We start from the raw sequence: 20,868 nt of genomic DNA on the forward strand, positions 1-20,868 counted from the left end.
TATGATGAGTGTAAAATCATGCAAATATACAATTAACATGCTCTTCTAGATTGTAGATAGATCTAGATGCCTAATCAGATTCTATTCAATTTTTTTGGCATTGATACTTTCCAGGTGGTGGTGTGTATTTCTGAGAGGAGGCACACAATGTCATATTTGGTAATGTTAAGATTGATCAATGAGTTCCTAGTGTATCAGCCTGATTCATCCACTGTGATCTTACATATCAACTTTTCATCTTATGGTTTTAGTAACTAAAAACCATGATTGCCTAAGTCCATTATTTCATTGGAGGCTGATAATGGCAATATTCCAATCCAGAGTAGATAGTAAATCCCACCAAGATGTGATTCTGAATGGCTGGATTCATGGTCCAGAGTGCAGCTAGTGAACAACTCTGTGTGGCCTGAAAAACTGGGATTTTTCTTTTTTTTTTCTTTTTCCTTTTTTTTTTTTTTTTAAGATGGAGTCTCGCTCTGTCTGAAGTGCAGCGGTGCAATCTCGGCTCACTGCAAGCTCCACCTCCCGGGTTCACGCCATTCTCCTTCCTCAGCCTCCCGAGTAGCTGGGACTACAGGCGCCCGCCACCACGCCTGGCTAACTTTTTTTTTTGGTATTTTAGTAGAGACGGGGTTTCACCGTGTTAGCCAGAATGGTCTTGATCTCCTGACCTCGTGATCCACCCGCCTCAGCCTCCCAAAGTGCTGAGATTACAGGCGTGAGCCACTGTAATTAAAAGTAGAGTAATTTCTACTTATATAGTGGCAGGCAAGAGAGCTTGTGCAGGGGAACTCCCCTTTATAAAACCATCAGGTCTCATAAGACTTATTCACTGTAGAATCATATGTAGAAGAAAAGTATGCATTTCAATACCCTTCATAGATTCAGTATCTCCTTAGCGTAGTCCATTAGTAGCATTTGAAGCATAATTCCACATCTGAATTTCTGCCAGTGAGATGTGCTGCTGTTGTTAGATGATTTGGTAGTGTTCCTCCATTCATTCCTACCAGCTCCTGCTTAAGTATTATTTGTTTACTATATTCGTGTATTTTCTTATTTTTAATTAATGTACTTATTTTTGGAAGAAAATACCACTGAGGAGCATGGCAATAGTATCTCATGTGGCAATATTAGAATACCAGAGCCGATAACATTCCGAGCATCCCTCTGTGAATGCATTGGTGAAAACAGCCATCCCACAGTGATATGTCATTGAACACCGCCTTGTTAGCCTACCTTGAGCCTTCCTAGATGGCCACATATAATAGATTTCAATAATATGTGCAAATTGGTGTTTGACATTTGTAGTCACAAAGGGAAAACATTCAGAGTGACTCATGCTGCTTTTTAATGCTCTGCTGTCACTGTCTTGAAATTCTTTTAAGCTCTTTTGCTACGCCACTAGCATATAGCATTTGAGATGCCTCATGAGTCCAGAATTCCCATGGACCCACGACAGGTAGGATTTCAGAGAAGCTTAGAGTGAGGACAAAGTAAGCTGGGGCATTGACTCTCCCCAAAGGCTAGTCTCTGTTTGAGCCAGGACTTCCTTTGAATGCAGAAAGAAGCAAATGGTTTGCATTGACTCTCCCCAAAGGCCAGTCTCTGTTTGAACCAGGACTTCCTTCGAATGCAGAAAAAAGGAAATGGTTTTCTAAGACCAACAGACCCTTTGATATCCTTTTTTACTGGTGTTACTTCTTTGTATTAGCCATCACTTATGCTGACAAGGATGACATGGGGTGATGATATTGTTCTTTTCCCCTTCAATCCTTCCTTACTTATCCATAGCCTAAGGTAGAGTGTTGGTAGAGTACATACACACCAAGAGGTGAAATGAACACAGTTGAGTTAACTTTGTGTAGTTTCCTTTGTTCTGGTAAGAACAAAATGCACATGCATGCATGAACTACAAAATGAGAATTGTGTAATTCTGGTGATTCTGCATCCAAGTAAGCTGTTCTTATATTTGCATTTAAAACAATATAAAAATGCATAATAAAATTTGTGCTAATAATTTAATGTTTTAATTTTCTTTACTTAGAGCAACATTAAATAGCAAATAAAAAACATCTTCACAAGCCAAGTCAGAGACCATAAAATAAAGGAAAAAGTTTTATATTTTGGTACTTTCAATGGCACTTTGGGGCCTGCATTTTGAACAAGGGGTCCCACATTTTTATTTTTCACTAGGCCCTGCAGATTCTATCGCCAGTCCTGTCTGTAAGAAACTACCAAGTTCTGTGATAACGTTTTCCCCTTGATGTCACACTTGAGTAGTTTTCTCTTTTCTCCTAGTTATTTTGACATTTTGTATAGTCCTAGAAAGACTGACTTAATGAATGACTTGTCTCATATTTAGTCTGCGCAATGGACTGAATGTGTATGTCGCCCACCAAATTCATATGTTGAAGCTCTAACACGCAAGGTGATGGTATTAGGAGGTGGGGTTTTTGGAAGGTGATTAGGTCATGAGAGTGGAGTCCTCATGGATGTGATTAAAGCTATTCTGAAAGGAATCCCGGAGAGCTCTCTTTCTCTTTCTGCCATAGGAGGACACAATGAGAAGAGAGCGGTCTGCAATCCAGAAGAGGGCCCTCGCCAGTACCCAGCTCTGCTGGAACCCTAGTCTCAGACTTCCAGCTTTCAGAACTGTGGGAAATAAATGTCTGTGGTTTCCAAGCAACCCAGCCTATATGCTTTGTTATAGCAGCCAGAACTGACTAAAACTGGTAAAAGGGTGCTTCTAACCATACAAATTTTAAGCTGTTTCAAGCTCTCTGCAGGCCACACAAAGGCCATGGTCCAGTCAGGATGTTTAATTGGATGGGATATTCTCATGAATTAATTACCCAACTGTCTTATTTTTATATTTAAAATATTATATCCAAATAAGAACACAGATCCAGGTTTTTATTTACAGCCAAGAGAAAAGTGCAAGCAATTCCCTAGGGTAGTCCATGTCAAAGCAAAACAAAACAAACAAAAAGCTCCTCTTGCATGTAAAGTGGTCAGTTCTTGCAATGCTCCCTTCTGATAGTGGAATTTATGGTTAAAATTAGACTTCCCATTGATCAAATTATGCTTTAGCATTTCTTGGAGAGTAGCAAAAAATATGTTTCTCAGTTAGGCTATAAACAAAAATCTATAGCAATTAACTTAATTTTTAGTTAAAAATTGTGGTAAAAGTTTTAACTTAATTTTTAAAGAGAAACAAACCCCCAGGAGACACAAATTCTCTGACACCTTGATCTAGGACTTCTAGCCACCGGAATTGTGAGAAAATAAATTCCTGTTTCTTAAGCTATCCAGTTGTGGTATGTTGTTATAACTCTAGCAAACCAGTAATTTCACTTCTTTTGGGTATTTACCCAGAAATGAAATTGCTGGATCATGTGGTAATCCTCTATTTAATTTTTTAAGAAATTGCTGCATCATTTTCTATAGCAGCTGCAGCATTTTACATTCCCACTACTAATGCACAGGGGTCCAATGTCTCCACATGCTCGTCAATACTTGTGATTTTCTATTTTCTTAAGTTTTAACTTTTGGATGATAGCATCCTAGTGGGTGTGAAATAATATCTCATTGTGGTTTGATTTGTATTTCCCTAATGGCTAGTGATGTTAGCATCTTTTCGTGTGCTTGTTGATCATTTGTAACCTTATTTGGAGAAATGTCTATTTAAGTGCTTTGCTTATTTTTAAATCATTTTTTGTTCTTGCTGAGTTGTAGGAGTTCTTTATGTGTTCTGGATATTAACCTCTTATCAGATGCATAATCTGCAAATGCTTTCTTCCATTATGTGAGTTGCCTTTTCACTCTGTTGGTAGTGTCCTTTGATGCACAAATTTTGAAGTTTAACTTACCTGTTTTTTCTTTTTTATTTCCTGTGCTTTGGGCATCATTTCAAAAAAATCTTTGCTAAATCAAGTGGCCTTTTATCCATTTTGAGTTAATTTTTGTATATGATATAAGGTGAACATCCAACCTCATCTTTTGGCATGTGGTCTCTCTGTGTTTTTATGGAAGGGTTATTATCTCAATTCTGAATTTTTGCTCTTTCTTATAGATCGCTATGTCTTTATCTCCATAACTATTCTTTATCTTTCATTTCTATGTTTTTGGTTCCTTTACAGGTAATATCACTAATTACTAGTTACGTTTACTAGTCTAATGCACTGATCGCTGTTAAACAATTTATTTCTCTTCTATTTACATAACATAAGACTGCTTCTGTTTTATACTTACAATTTTCCTCTTGTTTTTTCTTTTCATTTTTGTGGCTCCTGTTGCACCTGTCAATGTATTGCTTAGGTCTGGAAATAGCAGGTAGGTTCATACATTTATTCATCAGATATGCACAGGTAGAAGTTGCAAATCAAGAGAGCAAAGTAATCTGGACAAAAAAATCTAAAGAACACTCTTAGAGCCAGACTGTGTGCCAGTAACTGGTAGTTTTCTTCTTGGAACAGCTTCTTTGTAGATGATGGTCAAGTTCAGGATGTTTGCCCCAAGCTCTTCAGAACAGGCTGCCCTTGCCTCCTCTCTTCTCACTTTATAAGCTCTTCCTGATCAAGCTTATTTAGTCTGTGAGCTCAACCATAACCTAGACTTGGTGGTTCTCAAGGCTTCACTTCCAGCAAACACTCCCTCTGAGCTCCAGCTGTTTCTTACATATCTCCATGCGGCTTTCCCACGCTGAACTCAGCCACTTCCCTTTTGTATTCTCCTGTCAAATAATGACTCTATGATCCATTACCAATCCAAGCCAGAGACCTTAGAGACTTCATGGACTCCCTGTCTGCCATTTCTCAACCATCTGCAAGTCTATTGATGCCAGATCCCAAATACTTCTTTTGCCTGCCCTTGTCCTCTATCTCCCATGTCCCTGATATAGTTGCACTACAAGATCCTCTTCTTCATTACTCACTGGCTGCCTCACTTCCCTCTGTGATTACATATTGCCCTCAGCATGATTTTTATAATGTCCACATCTTCTGAATAAGGTCATCAGACTCCCATCCTCAACATACTCCAGTTCATTTTTTGGTTCATCTGTTTACTAATTTTTAAAAATTCTTTTAGAAGTTGTAGTCTAAAGTGTATTACATTGCATGTTTAGTATTTGTGATCCAGCGTCTCTGTAGCTGCCAAACCTCGTTTGTGGCCTAAGACAATCTTTCTCCTCTATTTCACTCTTCCTTTATCACCCTCTCTCACACACACACTTTATATTTAAACCAAATACAATTACTTGTATTTAGACAAGTACATACTCTCCACCCTTTTGAATGTGTGGTTCCTTCCACAGGCATAATACCTTTCTGTCACCCAGCCACTAGAAAATCCCTACACGTTACACAAGCTGCAATTCCAATGCTTCCTTCTCCGCAATATCTTCTTTGAACCTCAGGCTGGCCTCAATGCTCCCATCCCCTCTCCTCTCACTGCACTTGGTAGGCACATCTGTTTAAACTATGGCCTAATCAATTTGTAATGGTTCTTTATTGATTGGTTCTCTCTGAGGGCAGGGATCATGGCTTGTTCTCTTTGTATCCCAGTGCCTAGCACAATTTTTGGCAAGTGAAAGACCTTTTATGAGACTATGCCAGTGCCTGCCTTCCTACTAGCTTCATATTTCAGTCTTCCATTTTCATTCACTAATTTTTTTTCTTTGACTTCTTTGGTCTTGTTATAGGCTTCATTTCTTCTGTAGTAATTAAACACGATGGCACCAGCCACAGAAACAGCATACTCTCTGTATGTGGTAATGTTGTGCACAAAGCAATGGAGTGTCGGAGGTGCACATACTTTCTCATGTGGAAGAGTACAGGGCACCCCAGGATTGGAACTCACTGAAAGAAACTCCCAAGTTGTTGTATGATAACAGCAGATGTGACATTTCCTTGATCTGCAGTTTTCCATAAAAGCTGTGAATTTCTTAAGAGCTCTTACTATCTGCATTTCTGATGCCCTAGAACAAAGCCTAGAAAAATAATTGTTTTCACAATTATAAATGTCAATCACGGCTGGGCACGGTGGCTCACAGCTGTAATCCCAGCACCTTGGGAGGCAGAGGTAGGTGGATCACCTGAGGTGAAGAGATTGAGACCAGCCTGGCCAACATGGTGAAACTCCACCTCTACTAAAAATACAAAAATTAGCTGGATGTGGTGGCAGACACCTGTAATTCCAGCTACTCGGGAGGCTGAGGCAGGTGAATCGCTTGAACCTGGGAGATAGAGTTTGCAATGAGCTGAAATTGCACCACTGCACTCCAACCTGGGTGACAAGAGCGAAACTCTGTGTCAAAAAAAAAATGTAGATAACTTTTTTCACTGTTAGGAAAATCAATTGTAGATATTAGCCATGAATCTTTTAATCTGAATATGAGTGTATTGGGGTAGGAGTAAGTCTCGTTCTAATTAATTTCACTAAGTAACTGTAAATAACTAGGCAAATATTAAGTTCCAGGCACTGGGAGGTGCCAGGAGTAAAATGGAAAGCAAAGCAGACACATGGCTGCTTCACTAGGGAGGGAAGTTAACTTCAATTAGCGGTCACCTAATCAAGTGTAATAAACTGAAGCAGGTGCTACAAGGGAAGAAATGTTATCTCTGAGATGGAATAACAAAGGAACATACTCTAGGCTACAGGCAAGGCCACAATTAATTTTCTGTTGTTGTTCAACAAGTTCCCTCCAGCTTAGGCAAGACCCATGACAGTCGGGTGGTTGCAAGGCAATTCTGAGAGACTTCACAGATGAAGGGCATGTTCCCCCACAAGATCTCTCTCACTTCAGATGCCAGCCACAACTGCAGGGGCTCCCAGCCACCTGCATTTTGGACCAACTGGCCATAAACCAGAGATTTTCCACTATCTCCTTTGATAATTTGCTAGAATGACTCAGAATTCAAGAAAATACTATACTTATGATTATACAATTTTATTACAGCACAAAATAATACAAATTAAGACCAGCTTTAAAAAATGAGATGCATAGGGTGAGGCCTGGAAAGGTCCCAAATGGGAAGCCACTGTTGACCTCTCTGTGGAGTGAGGCACATTCTCCTGGCACACCCATGCATGATAATACACATAGAGTACTGTTGATCAGAGAAGCTCACCTAAGCTTCAAAGTCTAGAGTTTTTATTGGGTTTTCATTACATGAGTATGATCAATAGAATCACTGGCCATGAGGTTGAACTCAGTCTCCAGCCTTCCTCCCCTTCCTGGAGGGCAGGCTGGTAGTATGTGGCTCCAAGTCCGAAACCTCTAATCACATAGTTGGTCTTGCCCCATCCTGAGTCACCTTTTAGCATAAACTCAGCTATGGTCTGAGGGACCCACCATGAGTAACAGAGACGTTCTTATCACTTGGGAAATTCTAAGGGTTTAAAGCTTCCTTCCCAGGGATGGACGACAAAGGCCAGACAAATCCAGATAAAGCGGCCCTGTGTCTGCTTTGCTTTTCATTTTACTCCCAGACCCTCCCAGTGCCTGGAACTCCATATTTGCCTAGTTAGTTAATTACTGAATGAAATTCGCTGGACTGAGACTTACCCAGCTTATATCCGTATTAAAAGACCCATGGTTAATATCCAAACCATCTTCTAAAGTGGCTATACCATTTTGCATTCCCACCAGCAATGAATGAAGATTTCTCTTGCTCCACATCCTTCCTAGAATTTGGTGCTGTCAGTGTTCTAGATTTGGGCCATTCTAATAGGTGTGTTAAATACAATTTATAGGAGGCCATTGGTTTGGACTGATCTCCTAAACTGGGCCCAATGGACCAAACCAAAATGGAGTTATTCATACTGAAGTTCCATGCCACCTAGCTTACACTAAGTTCTTTATCTAAACTTCTGAAAAATTGAGAGAGAGAGAATAGCCAAATCCCAAACTGGCCAATTTTAGCTAGCATGATAATGACATCCCCTCTTCTTTAATCTTCATAAGAAAAGCAACTTCAAAATGACTAATCTGCTTTTTGTTTTTTTGTTTCTGCTTTCCTTACTCTTTTCCTGCCTATAAAGCCAACCTTCTCTACTCAGCTTATCAGAGCACTCATTCTAGTTGATGACATGAAGTGTCTGATTCTAGGTTCACAAATAAAGCTGATTAAACCTTTAAACTAAGTGTGTTGTAATTTGTCTTTTGACAGGTGTGTAGTGGCATCTCATGGTTGTTTTAATTTTTACTTCCCTGAGGACATATGATGTGGAACATCTTTTCATATGTTTATTTGCCTCCCAACCTCTGGCAAACACCATTCTACTCTCTGTCTCTCTAAGCTTGACTATTTTAAATTCCACATATAAATATCATACAATATCTGTCTTTCAGTCTTTGTATATTTTGGGTAATAGTCTTATCAGATGTGTCTTTTTAAATATTTTCTCCCAGTTTGTCGCTTGTCTTCTAACTCTCTTGAAATTGTCTTTTGCAAAGCAGAAGTTTTTAATTTTAATGAAGTCCAACTATCAATTCTTTCTTTCATGAATTGTGCCTTTGGTGTTGTATCTGAAAAGTTATCTCTATATCTAAGGTCAACTAGGTTTTCTCTTCTGTTATCTTCTAGAAGTTAACAGTTTGTGTTATGTTTGTTTGTTTGTTTGAGACGGAGTCTCACTCTGTTGCCCAGGCTGGAGTGCAGTGGCGGGATCCCCGCTCACTGCAAGCTCCACCTCCTGGGTTCATGCCATTCTCCTGCCTCAGCCTCCCGAGTAGCTGGGACTACAGGTGCCCGCCGATACGCCCAGCTAATCTTTTGTATTTTTAGTAGAGACGGGGTTTCACCATGTTAGCCAGGATGGTCTCAATCTCCTGACCTTGTGATCTGCCCGCCTCGGCCTCCCAAAGTGCTAGGATTACAGGAGTGAGCCACCGCACCCAGCCATAGTTTTGTGTTTTACATCTAGGTCTGTGATTCACTTTGAATTAATTTTTGGAAAGGATGTAAAGTTTTTGTCTAGATTCTTTTTTTTTTTTTGCATGTGGATGTCCAGTTGTTCCAATACCACTTGTTGAACAGACTGTCTTTGCTTTATTGTATTGCCTTTACTACTTTCTCAAAGATCAGTTGACTATATTTATGTATATCTATTTCTGAGCTTTCTATTTTTTCCATTGACCTATTTGTGTATTAGTTCAACAATACCACACTATCTTGACTACTGTAGCTTTATAGTATGTCTTGAAGTCATACTATAAGTATGTAAGTACCTAGGTAAGTATCAAGGTTATGTCAGTCCTCTGACTTTGTTCTTTTTCTTCAATATTGAATTGGCTATTCTAGGTCTTTTTTCTTCTTCACATAAACTTTAGAACGACTTGGTTGATGTCCACAAAGTAATTTATTAAGATCTTGATTGAGATTGCATTGAATCTATAGATCAAATTGGAAAAAGCTGACATCTTGACAATATTGAGTCTTCCTATCCATGAACATGGATTATCTCTTTATTTACTTAGTTCTTTTTTTTCTTTCATCAACATTTCACAGCTTTCTTCATATAGATCTCAAACATATTTTGTTAGCTTGACACCTAAGCATTTCACTTTTGAGGGTGATAATGTAAATGATATTGGGTTTTTAATTTCAAATTTTACTTGTTCATTGCTGGAATATAGGAAAGGAATGCATAGTTTTTTAGAGCCTTTCAGAGAGTATGTAGAGCAACAAGAACAGCAAGCAGGGGACAGAGCCCTGGGCAACATCAACATTCAAGGGAATAGAAGTAGGAAATCTTATAAAGAGAAGAGAAAAAGTAGACAGAAATGTGGGAGAGGGGAATGATGAGCAGGAGAACACAAATCTGTCTCTCTCTCTCTGTCTCTTTCACACACACACACACACACACACACACACACACATATTTCAAGAAGGAAGCTAAATGTCCACCAACGAGGCCTGGACCAAATAAATTATACTTTATGCTACATGACCATTAAGAAAGCATCTATTCATGAAGTGGTATGGGAAGAAAGTTGATAGAATTCTTGAGTAACAAAATAATTTGAGGAAATAGGATTGTCACTATTCAAACCATTGTTTTGAACATTTTTGTTATGGGTTAAGTTTGGCAAAAATTAATAAATATGAAAACTAATGTAAAGTTCTATACTTAGGTCTAAAAGGGGAAGATATGTCTTTATAGAATCATATGTTCAAAATATTTAGCTGATTAAAGACAAAAAATTTTATGCATGGAAGTCAACACCCTGCCCTTCCTATTTGCAATGAATGGAGCATAATGGCCTGAACTCTATTACCATTCCACTATAGTCACATCCTCTTGCCATTTTAATCAACCGCGTTTTTGCTGCTCCCTTGGCTTGGAATGCTCTTCCCTAGAGACATTCGTGGCTCCCTTCCTCACTTCACTCTGGTCTTTGCCCGAATAACCTCTCAGTGGTGTCTTCTTCGACCACCTGTTCAGTATACCTCCCTCTACACGTACTTCACTTTCGGTCCTTTCATCAGCTCTAGTTTCTTTTGTCAACTTAAAATCACAATAGCTGTAAATTTAGAGAGGAGAGCTTTATTTCTTATAAATGGTTGCTGCCTGAAGGTTGGGAAGCATAGCCGCCAGCAGAATCTGAAAGTGCGTATTTCAAAGGAGGAAGGGTGAAACAGGAGTTTATACTGAAGGAGTTGGCTAAGTACACATATTTAACAGTTTATAGGAGGAGCCTTGAATATTCATAAAGGAGGGACACTTGCACACACATAAGCAACAGTGAATATTACATATGTCCCATGTTTACTTTGGCATGGAGACTTAACATTTAACTGCATTAACATTGGGCTGTATACATCAAAAGGTGAAAAAGAGACAAAGGCATTCTGTGCACAGCCTGTGTAAACTGGCCAGAACCACTCCAGGGTCAGTGGTCTTTTATCAGGAAGAAATGCTGTCAGTTGTTGTGTCAAAACCACAAAAAGCCTACAGCATCAGGTAGGTGTTTGAAATCTGCAGTGGAGCAAGTCTTTCTTAAAAGGGCTGGTTTCTGTTTCTCCCTGAGGAAATAAAGTTCACTGGATGTTAGCGAAGGAGGGGGTATACCGAGGTGTCTCCAGCCTCCTGTTCTGTCATGGCCAGGAACTCAGTTTTTAAAGTTTCTCTGGGGCCTCCTTGGCTAAGAGTGGATCCATTCAGTTGAGTGGTGGTCTTAGGATTTTATTTTTATTTCTTACTTTCATGGTACTATCCCTGCCTGACATTGTCATATGTTCATTTGTGTATCTGTTGTCCGTCTCTGCTTCTAGAATGTAAACATCACGAGGGGCCATTTGGTCTGTCTCCCTCGCATCCGCTGCCCTGCCTCCAAAGGGCTTCACTCTAGACTTTTTATTGGCTTTGCGTGGAAAGGCATAAACACCAATAGAGGGCTAAAGCAGACTGAGGCATTCCCTGGCATCGTCAGTCTTGATCTCTTCTATACAACCACACCTCCTCCCTTTTATCACATTCACCACATTATTACCATGTTGTAATGGGGGAGAACAAATGTTATTATCTGAACAGCTGGCACCAGAATGTCTTTGTTTAAGACACTCCTTAGGGTAGAGGGTGAGACTTCAAGAGCAGGGCCAAACAGCAAAAGGATTTTGCTAAGAACAAGACCTGAAGGAAGATTGGTTCCATTTGGGGTGTGGTGGTGGTGGGTGATTGGGGTGGGAAGAATGAGGAGGAGAAAGAAGGGGCCAGAGGGAAATGGAGAGAGGCTGAGGTGAGGGGGAGTCAGTAAGATACCAGAGTCAGGGTGACCAGATGACACTTAAGGAACAGTTCTCTCCTCTTGATAGCTTTGTTTGTCCAAAAATATTTTGTGAGAATAGATTTTATTATATGGTGTAACAGAAAGATGAGACCAAAAGGCAAAATATGAAATAATAGTGTGAGCACCTAGAAATTTGTGGAAATCTTGGCTGATGTTTCAAACATCACATGCTGAGGAATTTGGGAGTTTAAGACAAGATCTCAGGAACATCCCGAGCAGGCAGGGAGGGCCGGCGAGCAGAGGTACCTGCTACTCTTGGCTCCTTTTTTTTTTTTAAACCACTTTGTCTCTTATCTCCCAGCAAATCCTTATACCTTTCAGTTTGAAACACAAAACCTTCAGGTTTCACTAGTGCCTTGTGAAGTGGTTAATGTCATAGAATCTGGCATCAGACACTGGGTTTGAACCTCAGCTCATCATACCTTAGCTGTACAATCTTGGGTATGTTACTTAACCTCTTTGTGCCTCACTTGTCCAATCTGTAATATGGGAATAGTATTTCTTAAGGTTGCTGGGAATATTCATGCTTAGACATAATTTGTACTATGTAAGTGTTTTCTTCTATTCTTGTAATTATTATTTGGATAGATCAGAGAGAGTTTGAGATTTCAAACATAAAGTGGCTAGCCTATGAAAACTGAATGTAGTGACCAAATTGGAAAAGATCTGTGGTCTCTTGGATTTTCTGCCTCTCCTCTAAAAAGTACAGGTTCTTCTTTCCGGAGAAAGAAGAGAATATTTATAAGCTCAGACACCTCCTCCCCATTTCAGTAAGATGCTCAATTGTTTCAAATTTGCCTGAAACCTAAGGCTAAAGTACTTAAAAAGAAAAGGAATGTACTTCCTGCTGGCTCTCATATCCTTCTAGGAGAAGGTTCCAGGCTGAACTTGAATTCCCCCACCCGGAAGACTCTTGTGGGAGATGTGTACACGCCCATGCTGGGCAACGTCTGGAAAATGCATGCCAGACTTGGTCACAGTGATCTCACAGAACAGAGTCCTAGTCAAGATGTTCCATGTTTGCACTTGCAACCTTGGAAATAGCAAGAGATTGTAGAGGCTTCATGAACTCTGAAAACTTGCTTATGGATTGCAAGAAAAGCTGTGAGTTTTCTAGATGTTATTTGCCCTGAGGACTAAATTCTGATTTTTTTTAAATCTTGCCCAAATTCCTTGAGTGTCATGCCCTACAAATCATAAATTATCACCATATGGGTTTTATTTAACTCTATATATCATGACTCACTTTCCAACCTGACTCTGGCATAACATTATAAGACAAGGAAGAAAATAAAAATATTTTACCTCAAAACATATTTCTTTGTCATATTTTGAAAAGGCCCTGTGAAGCTGTTCTTCATGGGGGAAAATTTGCATCTGTAAAGAATCTCTGTTAACATAGCTAGATCTTTTTCTTCCACACTTTCCCAATCCTAAAGAGATTAATTAAGATCTGAATAGGAAACATTTGTCATCTGTTGTCTCTAAGGGCAGCCACTATAAGACTTCAAAAGAACTTTGGTCTCCACAGTCTTTATCTCAACCTGAACATTCCCTGAACATTCCCTTTCTATCAATCTCAGGTCTTTAGACACACTCAACCAATTGTCAACCAGAAAATGTTTAAATTCACCTATAGCCTGTAAGCTCTCCACTTTGAGTTGTCCCGCCTTTCTGGACCAAACCAATGTATTTCTTAAACGTATTTGGTTGATGTCTCACGCCTCTCTAAAATGTGTAAAACAAAGCTGCTCCCTGACGACCTTGGGCACATGTTCTCAGGACCTCCTGAGGGCTGTGTCACGGGCCATGGCCACTCATATTTGGCTGAGAATAAATCTCTTCAAATATTTTACAGAGTTCGACTCTTTTTGTCAACAGGCCAGGAGAGGATGTCAGCTGCACAGAGAAAGAGACCAACACTGCTGGCTCTTCCAGTTCTGGTCGGACCCTGTGGAGCACACAGCCCTTTTGACAACCTCCTGAGGCCAGTCTCTCCTCCCCCTCACAGAGAGGAGCTGGGTGCACTAGAGCCCCCAGGAGGCTTTTGAGCAGGCAAGGGGAGGGCTGTCCTCAGAGCTTCTGGAAAGACAAACTTTTAGATAGTCAGGAGGTTACGTGTCCCAGAGAGAAGGCTCACATGTTGACCTACAAAAGTAGAGAGGAGGCTGGCAGGATGTCTGGCCTGTGTGGCCAGGGTATGGCTGGATGGAACATGGAAAAATACAGACTGATCCTTTAACATTCAAAGAGGAGCAAACTGCCTCAACATTGCCCATTTAGACCAGACATGAGAAGATGCGCCATTCTGCTGTCAGGACTGAGTGGAGGTTTCATCAGGAATAGGAAATGGAAGGGAAAGATAGAGGGTGCTTGATCAACCAAAGAATTTATACCAAGATCCAGCCAAGTGTAGCTGGATGGGGCTTTTCCTGTGCTGCCAGGGCTGTGGTGATTGTGCTGTGGACACGCTGGTGCATGTGTATGCTTCCTTCATAAGTAATAGAGGAACTGTGGAAACATTTTTAGAGGGGATGGCTCAGTATGAAGGCAGCAGCTGGTGTTCTCTGGGTTCTGGTTACCCTCATACCTTTTAGGCTTAATTGTTATACTGAATTCAGGGCTCCTTTCTTTCTGTTAACTGTAAGAACAATCTCATTCTAAGGAAAGAGGGCCTGGAAACTGCAGCTCATTCTGGCTTCTTCCTCCCTCTTCATCTGGCCCAGGAAGGCTGAGGGGCGGGGCTGTGAGAGGCCTCCTTGTCAGAGCCCCCATACGTGATGATCCAAGGGAGTTTCCTCTTTCCTGCCTGACTTGGTTTGGATTTGTGTTGCTGCCCAAACCTCATGTTGAATTGTAATCCCCAGTGTTGGAGGAGGAGCCTGGTGGGAGGTGATTGAATCATGTTGGCGGATTTCCCTTTTGCCATTCTTGTGATAGTGAGAGAGTTCTCAGGAGAACTGGTTGTTTAAAGTGTGTAGCACCTCCACCTTTGCTCTCTTCCTCCTGCCAGACATGTAGGATGTGCCTTCTTCCCCTTCACCTTCTGCCATGATTTTAAGTTTCCCGAGGTTTCCCCAGCCATGCTTCCTGTACAGCCTGCAGAACTGTGAGTCGATTAAACCTCTTTTCTTTATAAATTACCTGGTCTTAGGTAGTTCTTTATAGCAATGTGAGAACACACTTATACAGTGTCTTTCAAGTCCCCAGAAAAGACCTGAAGATCTTTCTATGATTGTCCCTATGACATTTGGAAGCAGGGACAGCTTCTTGGCATATGCATGTCTTCAGCTCTGCATTGTGACCTCCATGACCTCTCATTAGGCACTCTGTGTGACCTTGTCAGGGTGCCCTTATGTGGCAGACCAGGTCTCACTAACGCAGGCCTCCATAACAACTCTTTCAGTACTGACCCAGTGGTTAAGTTAAATATTAAAAGCTGATAGAGCCAGTGTCCTTATACAAAGTCTGGAATGTAAAAAAAGCCCACCAAGAGTTTTGCCTAGGCCTTTTCTGGGCCTTAAAGTATGACAAAATAATGAAGGAATTCTGAACAGGCCCCTTTTAGGATTAAACAAGTTTTACTGGGGGGTCTGAAGAAACTCCCCAGGCCTCCACAAAAAGTTTATTGGGGTTCTGAAGGAACTCCTCAAACCTCCGTGATTTAACAGGAGACAAGATAAGGGTAATCACCCCAGCACCTGGACCCATTTAGATTAAGTAAATTTACTGAGGCTCCAGAGGAAGGTCTTCAGGACTCAGATCTTAGTTATAGATTAGAAGAAGTTAATCACTTATGTTTTTAGAGGAGTGCAAACTTACGTGTAGACATATAGCTTAGAAAGTATATAAGCTCTGGAAAACTTCATAATTTTGAGTTGGTCTGGCAATAACTTCCAGGCCTTCTCCCTGTAACCAGTAGCGGAAATAAAACTCTCTTCCCCACCAAGTTCATCTGCATTTCATTATTGGGCCACGAGAAATAGCAGCCCAACCCTCAGTTTGGTCTGGGAACACTTGAACCTCCACCTCCAGTTGTCAGGCAAGATCAGTTCCTAAGGATCTCCTGGGGACTCCTTGTCTGTCGGGATCTTTTGCCTTTTCTGCCATGGAGGGATGCAAGTGAAACAGAACTCAGTTCTTGTCCCCAAGAAACTCACAAAGGAAATGGGATAAATACAATAAAAGACATATAAGCCCATCAATTCTTTGCTGATTTAAATGTTTCTAATTGTTCATTGTTTCTCCCAACTAATGGATACCTGTTTTTTTCAGAGTGTTTCTTTACTCAATTCTAAAAGAGGTAAACACTCAAAAGTTATGGACAGATTTTAACCAGTTTATAGAATATATAAAGTGAGTTCATGTAATAATAGGCATTTTTGCTTCATAATTGCCAAAGAAAACAGGCATTTAAAGCCATTTAGTTGTGTGAATATAGTCTGTTAAATTTTCACCACTGAAAGTTTCCAGTTTGTTAAAATGTTCTAAAGAATACCTAAATGCAGTAGCTTCCTACCTGAATAGTTTGTCTGTTTTGAGATAATTTAGTTTTTTATCTTGACAAAATTTTCATACAAAACTGCCTATTCTCTACTTGGTAGTCACAGTCTCAGAATTCTCCCCAGGGATTTTTACAATTTTCTAAAATATCTAGTATCAAATCGAATGAACTATCATTAAAAAAATAGACTCAATTGATTAAATAATCAGCACAGAGGTTCCAGGCATATCCCTTGTCTGTGCAGAGGGAGACTTCACGCTTGGCGGAAGTACATGCTAGGGAGAGGTATGATTTGTGGGGTGTTCTAAAGCCCCCATTTAGGTTCCTTTATATTTTCATAGATAAGCTTTATTATTTTGCGGAAAGATACCAAAGCTTTAAGGCTGTTGTTAATTACGCATTCCCCAGGATTGAGAGTGGGGGGACATGATCAGCCCTTATCAGCCTCTGATACCTCAGTAGGAATTAAGATCATATTTGAACTGAAAGCAACTAGGAGATTATTTACCACTTATTCTTCACTTCACAGATGAGGAAACTGAAACCCAGAGGACATACATCATTTGTCCACAGGGGTGATCACACCCAGTAATTAGCAACAGAGCTGAGACATCACAGTCGCATTTCCATTTCTGGGTGCTTGCACTAGGTTTCCAATTACGGGCACTTTTCCTGGGGCCCCACTGGCTGCGTTCAGCTCTGTGGGTGTCAGCTGGTGGCTCGGTGTCGGGCCTTCCTGGGACGCTAATGGGGCACCTTGATAGGAGAGGTCAGGGACATTCCCTGGGTGCACATGTGTGCATGCTTGTTTGCGGGGTTGGGAGATGAAGCCATGTGTGAGGGGAGGCCCAGAGGCAGCATGAAGCCAGTGGAAGCTGAGGGCAGAAGTGGTGCGAATCAGGGTACAATGCGTTGCTGCAATAAGTCTGCTCAGAGAGAGCCCCTGGGAGGAAGGGAGCACAGGCCAGCATTTGCATTGGGGTTCATCTTCTTCTACATTTTCATCAGGCAAGTGGAATGCCTGCTTTGTTCACAGTTCTGAAGGCAAGTTCTTATTTACACCAGATTTCTAGGGGTCTTTAGGGACCGTGAGCATGCTTTTCTCTGTTTCTCAACTCACAAGTGAATAGGGAGCAAAGTGCTTCGGTGTGAAGAAATCATTACAGCCCTCAGGATGAGCAATTAGCCCTTCTCCCCAGTGAAAATAGCCCCTTGGAGAAAGCCCTTGGAGCCCAGGGCACCAGAGAGCCAGTTTGTTTATTTCCTTTATTGGTGGTATTTGCTAAATTCTTGTCCCTAATGAGCTAATAGACCTTGGATGCACATAAAGGCCATTTATTTAGTTTGGTAGGTTTACATATTTAAAAGAAAACAAACCCCTTAGAGCACTGAAGAACAAAGTCATGCAGCTGCTTTAAAGTCTTAATTGTGACAGAAACAAGTCTTTTATTTTAAATCAGCAAAATAAAGTTAAGTGGAAAACTAAAAGCTCATGCCTGACAACCATATTTTCCCAAACAGATGGAATCCTTTTGGGTCTCAGAGACTATTTTACCAGTGTTTTTAATTCATAGCCTTAGAAAATCCCAACCCAAGTAATTTCTTTTTCAGAAACATCAGATTTATACCATTTGGGTTTTAGAAAACAATGAGAGGCTTCTAAAGTTAAAAATTATTACTTAGGGATTACAAACAAAAGCTTGAGTTCCTTACTGAAGGACATCAAGAAATGCATTTAATCAGATAAGTAAATTTATTTCAACAATCTAAATTATAGTTTTATTCCCAAGTTAGCTTACGTAAACTGTCTTCTGTAGAAAATATGAAAGTTTGGTAAGATTAAATTGATACAAAGTTAATTGCACTCAAACTTTATTTGGGTTGTTAATAGATTTGATATTAAGCAAAAAGAAGTTAATTTTCTCATGACTAGAAGAATTTGTTTGAAGTTTCACATTAGATCTTATGAGGTACATTAAATTAAGTTCCCAATTTTATAATCAGAAATATGTCAATTAGATTTCTTTGAAGTTACTCCATGATAACTTGGAAAGTTATCACATTTATTAAGTCATAACTCTAAATGGGTCTTAGATTTTAGGGTAAGTAATATCTCAAAAGGAAAAAAATAGAAACTCAAGAATGTTCCAGGAGTCAACCTATTGAAAAGAAAACAGTGCTCTGAGTTTGATAGCTGGATATTAAGGTTCTCTGATCTTTGCTGTTCCTTTTATATTCCACGACCTGTTTATACCCTGGCAGCTAAAGCAATTGCTTTAGAAGAAAAAAATCAGACCATTCTCTATAAATGATTTGAAAAGCTGTTTTTCAAATAAAAAGAAATAGCGAAGTGCTCTTTTTAAAAACCTAACTTCTAAAATACTAAAAAAAAAAACCCACACACAAAGAAAATACTTGCTTTCAGAATGTTTATATTTCTATGTTTTAATTTCTTTTCAACTTAAAGAGTAGATTACCACCCCAAATTACTTTATTCTCCATTTAGTGAGGCTTCTGCCTTATTCCAGAAAGCAGCCAACATTTTGGCTGCACCTGGTTAAATTTGTTTTCTTTCATATTTTGTGGGAGCACAAGACTCAATGCTAAGGGACACCTAAATAATTTCAAACATTTTTTTCCCACTTAAATTTATGACATCTTGATAATTACCATAAAGCATAATTGATACCAGTTAAAATGATCTATTATTCAATGCGGCTGAATTTTGTATATTACTCCAAATGACAACAGTGACATAGTGCATGGCTATAAACTCAGGTATGACTGTGATACTACAAGGGATATTTTGTTTATATCTGCTCTGTACTTACAGAACAGGCAGGCTGTAAATTGAGCTTACTGCTGATTTACTGGGCTCATAGATTTATTACTTATACATTCAATACATTCCATAAAGAGTTCTCAAACACCTGTTATGTGTCAAGCATCTTGTTCTGCATTGCAGACAGCTTGATGGAAAAACACAAACACCCGCTTGAGGAACAGCCTGAAGATGGGGCTTCAGTGTGTGCTTCTGTGGAGGCACCCGGGGAAATGCAGAATCCTCACCTAACTCAGAAGGGGAGCCATCTGTTACTTGTCTTAAGGAGATCAGCTGTGGTACTGGTGAATACTGCACATGTATCACTTATGCTATGGTTGTAGAGCTACTGAACAAAATCAGAATTTAATTTTACTTTGGTAAGAGCCACAAACAAGCCTGGAAGCAGTAGTATTGGAGAACCAACATGAGAAAGGGTGTTTCTGTGGGTAGCAAGGAAGAGATTCTCTCAGGAGATACAAAGGAAGTGACAGAATGCCAACCTCTCATTCTTCTCTGGAGTCCAGATGGACATTGGTGATAACGGGAGCCAGTACAGAAGCTCTCCGGGGATGACAGGGGAGCAATGCCTGGTCCTGTTGATCCCTGCTGAAAGGAAGACTTCCTCCTAGGTGGTGGGGTTTCCCCTCCTCAGGAGTCATACAATTTCTGGGCTGCCTCTTGTCAGGCTACCAGCCATTGATGACTATTGTCTAAATCTGTCACTTTCTTAGAAATTGTAAAATGGCAAAATTCTAATTTTTTACCTATTTTTCATTTATTAGCTAGAATACTTCTATAGAGAGAAACTTCCCCTTATCCATTCTTAGGTTAACCTGAGTATAGAAAAGACAGGATGAATGTTTAGTAGTTTTCAAAATAATGTGTGGTTTCTGTCTGTATTCCAAACACAGTGCATGTTTAATACATATGAATGTATAGGTTTAATTTAATTATATTTAATGTTTTGTTACATTTCAGTTATTATCCTCATTGCTACTCAAATCAACCTATTTATATCTAGCAGGTGTCTTTGAAACAACCCTAGGAGTGTGATAGCTTCCATGTTTGCTGTTATGACCAGATAGTAAAAATTTTAGGCTTTGCAGGTCGTAAAGTCTGTGTTGCAATTACCATTAGATGGTATGTCAATAAATGAGTGTGGCTGTGTTTATTTCTAGTCTTGGCCGCAGAAGCGAGATGATGAAGGGAACGTCATCATTTGGAAAGCATTGCAATAAGACGTACACGTTATGCCACCACTGTGGCTCTAAGGCCTACCACCTTCAGAAGTCGACCTATGGCAAATGTGGCTACACTGCCAAGCGCAAGAGAAAGTATAACTGGAGTACCAAGGCTAAAAGACGAAATACCACCAGAACTGGTCAAATGAGGCACCTAAAAATTGTATACCATAGATTCAGGCATGGATTCCGTGAAGGAACAACACCTAAACCCAAGAGGGCAGCTGTTGCAGCATCCAGTTCATCTTAATGTCAACGATTAGTCATGCAATAAATGTTCTGGTTTTAAAAAATACAAAATAAATAAATAAATAAATAAAAAATAAATTAAAAAAGACAGCCCTACAGGCCAATTTTTTGTGGACTCCTGTTCTAAAATAATCACAATCTGTGTACTAAGACAAAAATGCCTAGCAAATGCACATCATTAAGTGTATTTAATCCTTGCTCTATCTCGTGATCCTACCAAAATGTATTTCTATTTAACTAGTCAGAAAAGGAAAAG

The 20,868-nt window shown here is 39.9% G+C and overlaps 1 pseudogene, besides 2 other annotated features; it reads left to right on the forward strand.

The window, feature by feature from the left end:
- Positions 16,582-17,082: an enhancer, noted in NCBI's record as "H3K4me1 hESC enhancer chr8:57497228-57497728 (GRCh37/hg19 assembly coordinates)". NCBI's record gives its function as "activates a minimal SCP1, AML or CMV promoter by ChIP-STARR-seq in primed H9 embryonic stem cells {active_cell/tissue: H9 hESC(primed)}" and the evidence as "EXISTENCE:reporter gene assay evidence [ECO:0000049][PMID:30033119]".
- Positions 17,083-17,583: an enhancer, noted in NCBI's record as "H3K4me1 hESC enhancer chr8:57497729-57498229 (GRCh37/hg19 assembly coordinates)". NCBI's record gives its function as "activates a minimal SCP1, AML or CMV promoter by ChIP-STARR-seq in primed H9 embryonic stem cells {active_cell/tissue: H9 hESC(primed)}" and the evidence as "EXISTENCE:reporter gene assay evidence [ECO:0000049][PMID:30033119]".
- On the forward strand, positions 20,294-20,660 carry RPL37P6 (ribosomal protein L37 pseudogene 6; annotated as a pseudogene).

The sequence above is a fragment of the Homo sapiens genome, chromosome 8, assembly GCF_000001405.40.
Source record: "Homo sapiens chromosome 8, GRCh38.p14 Primary Assembly".
In the NCBI taxonomy this organism is placed as follows: domain Eukaryota; kingdom Metazoa; phylum Chordata; class Mammalia; order Primates; family Hominidae; genus Homo; species Homo sapiens.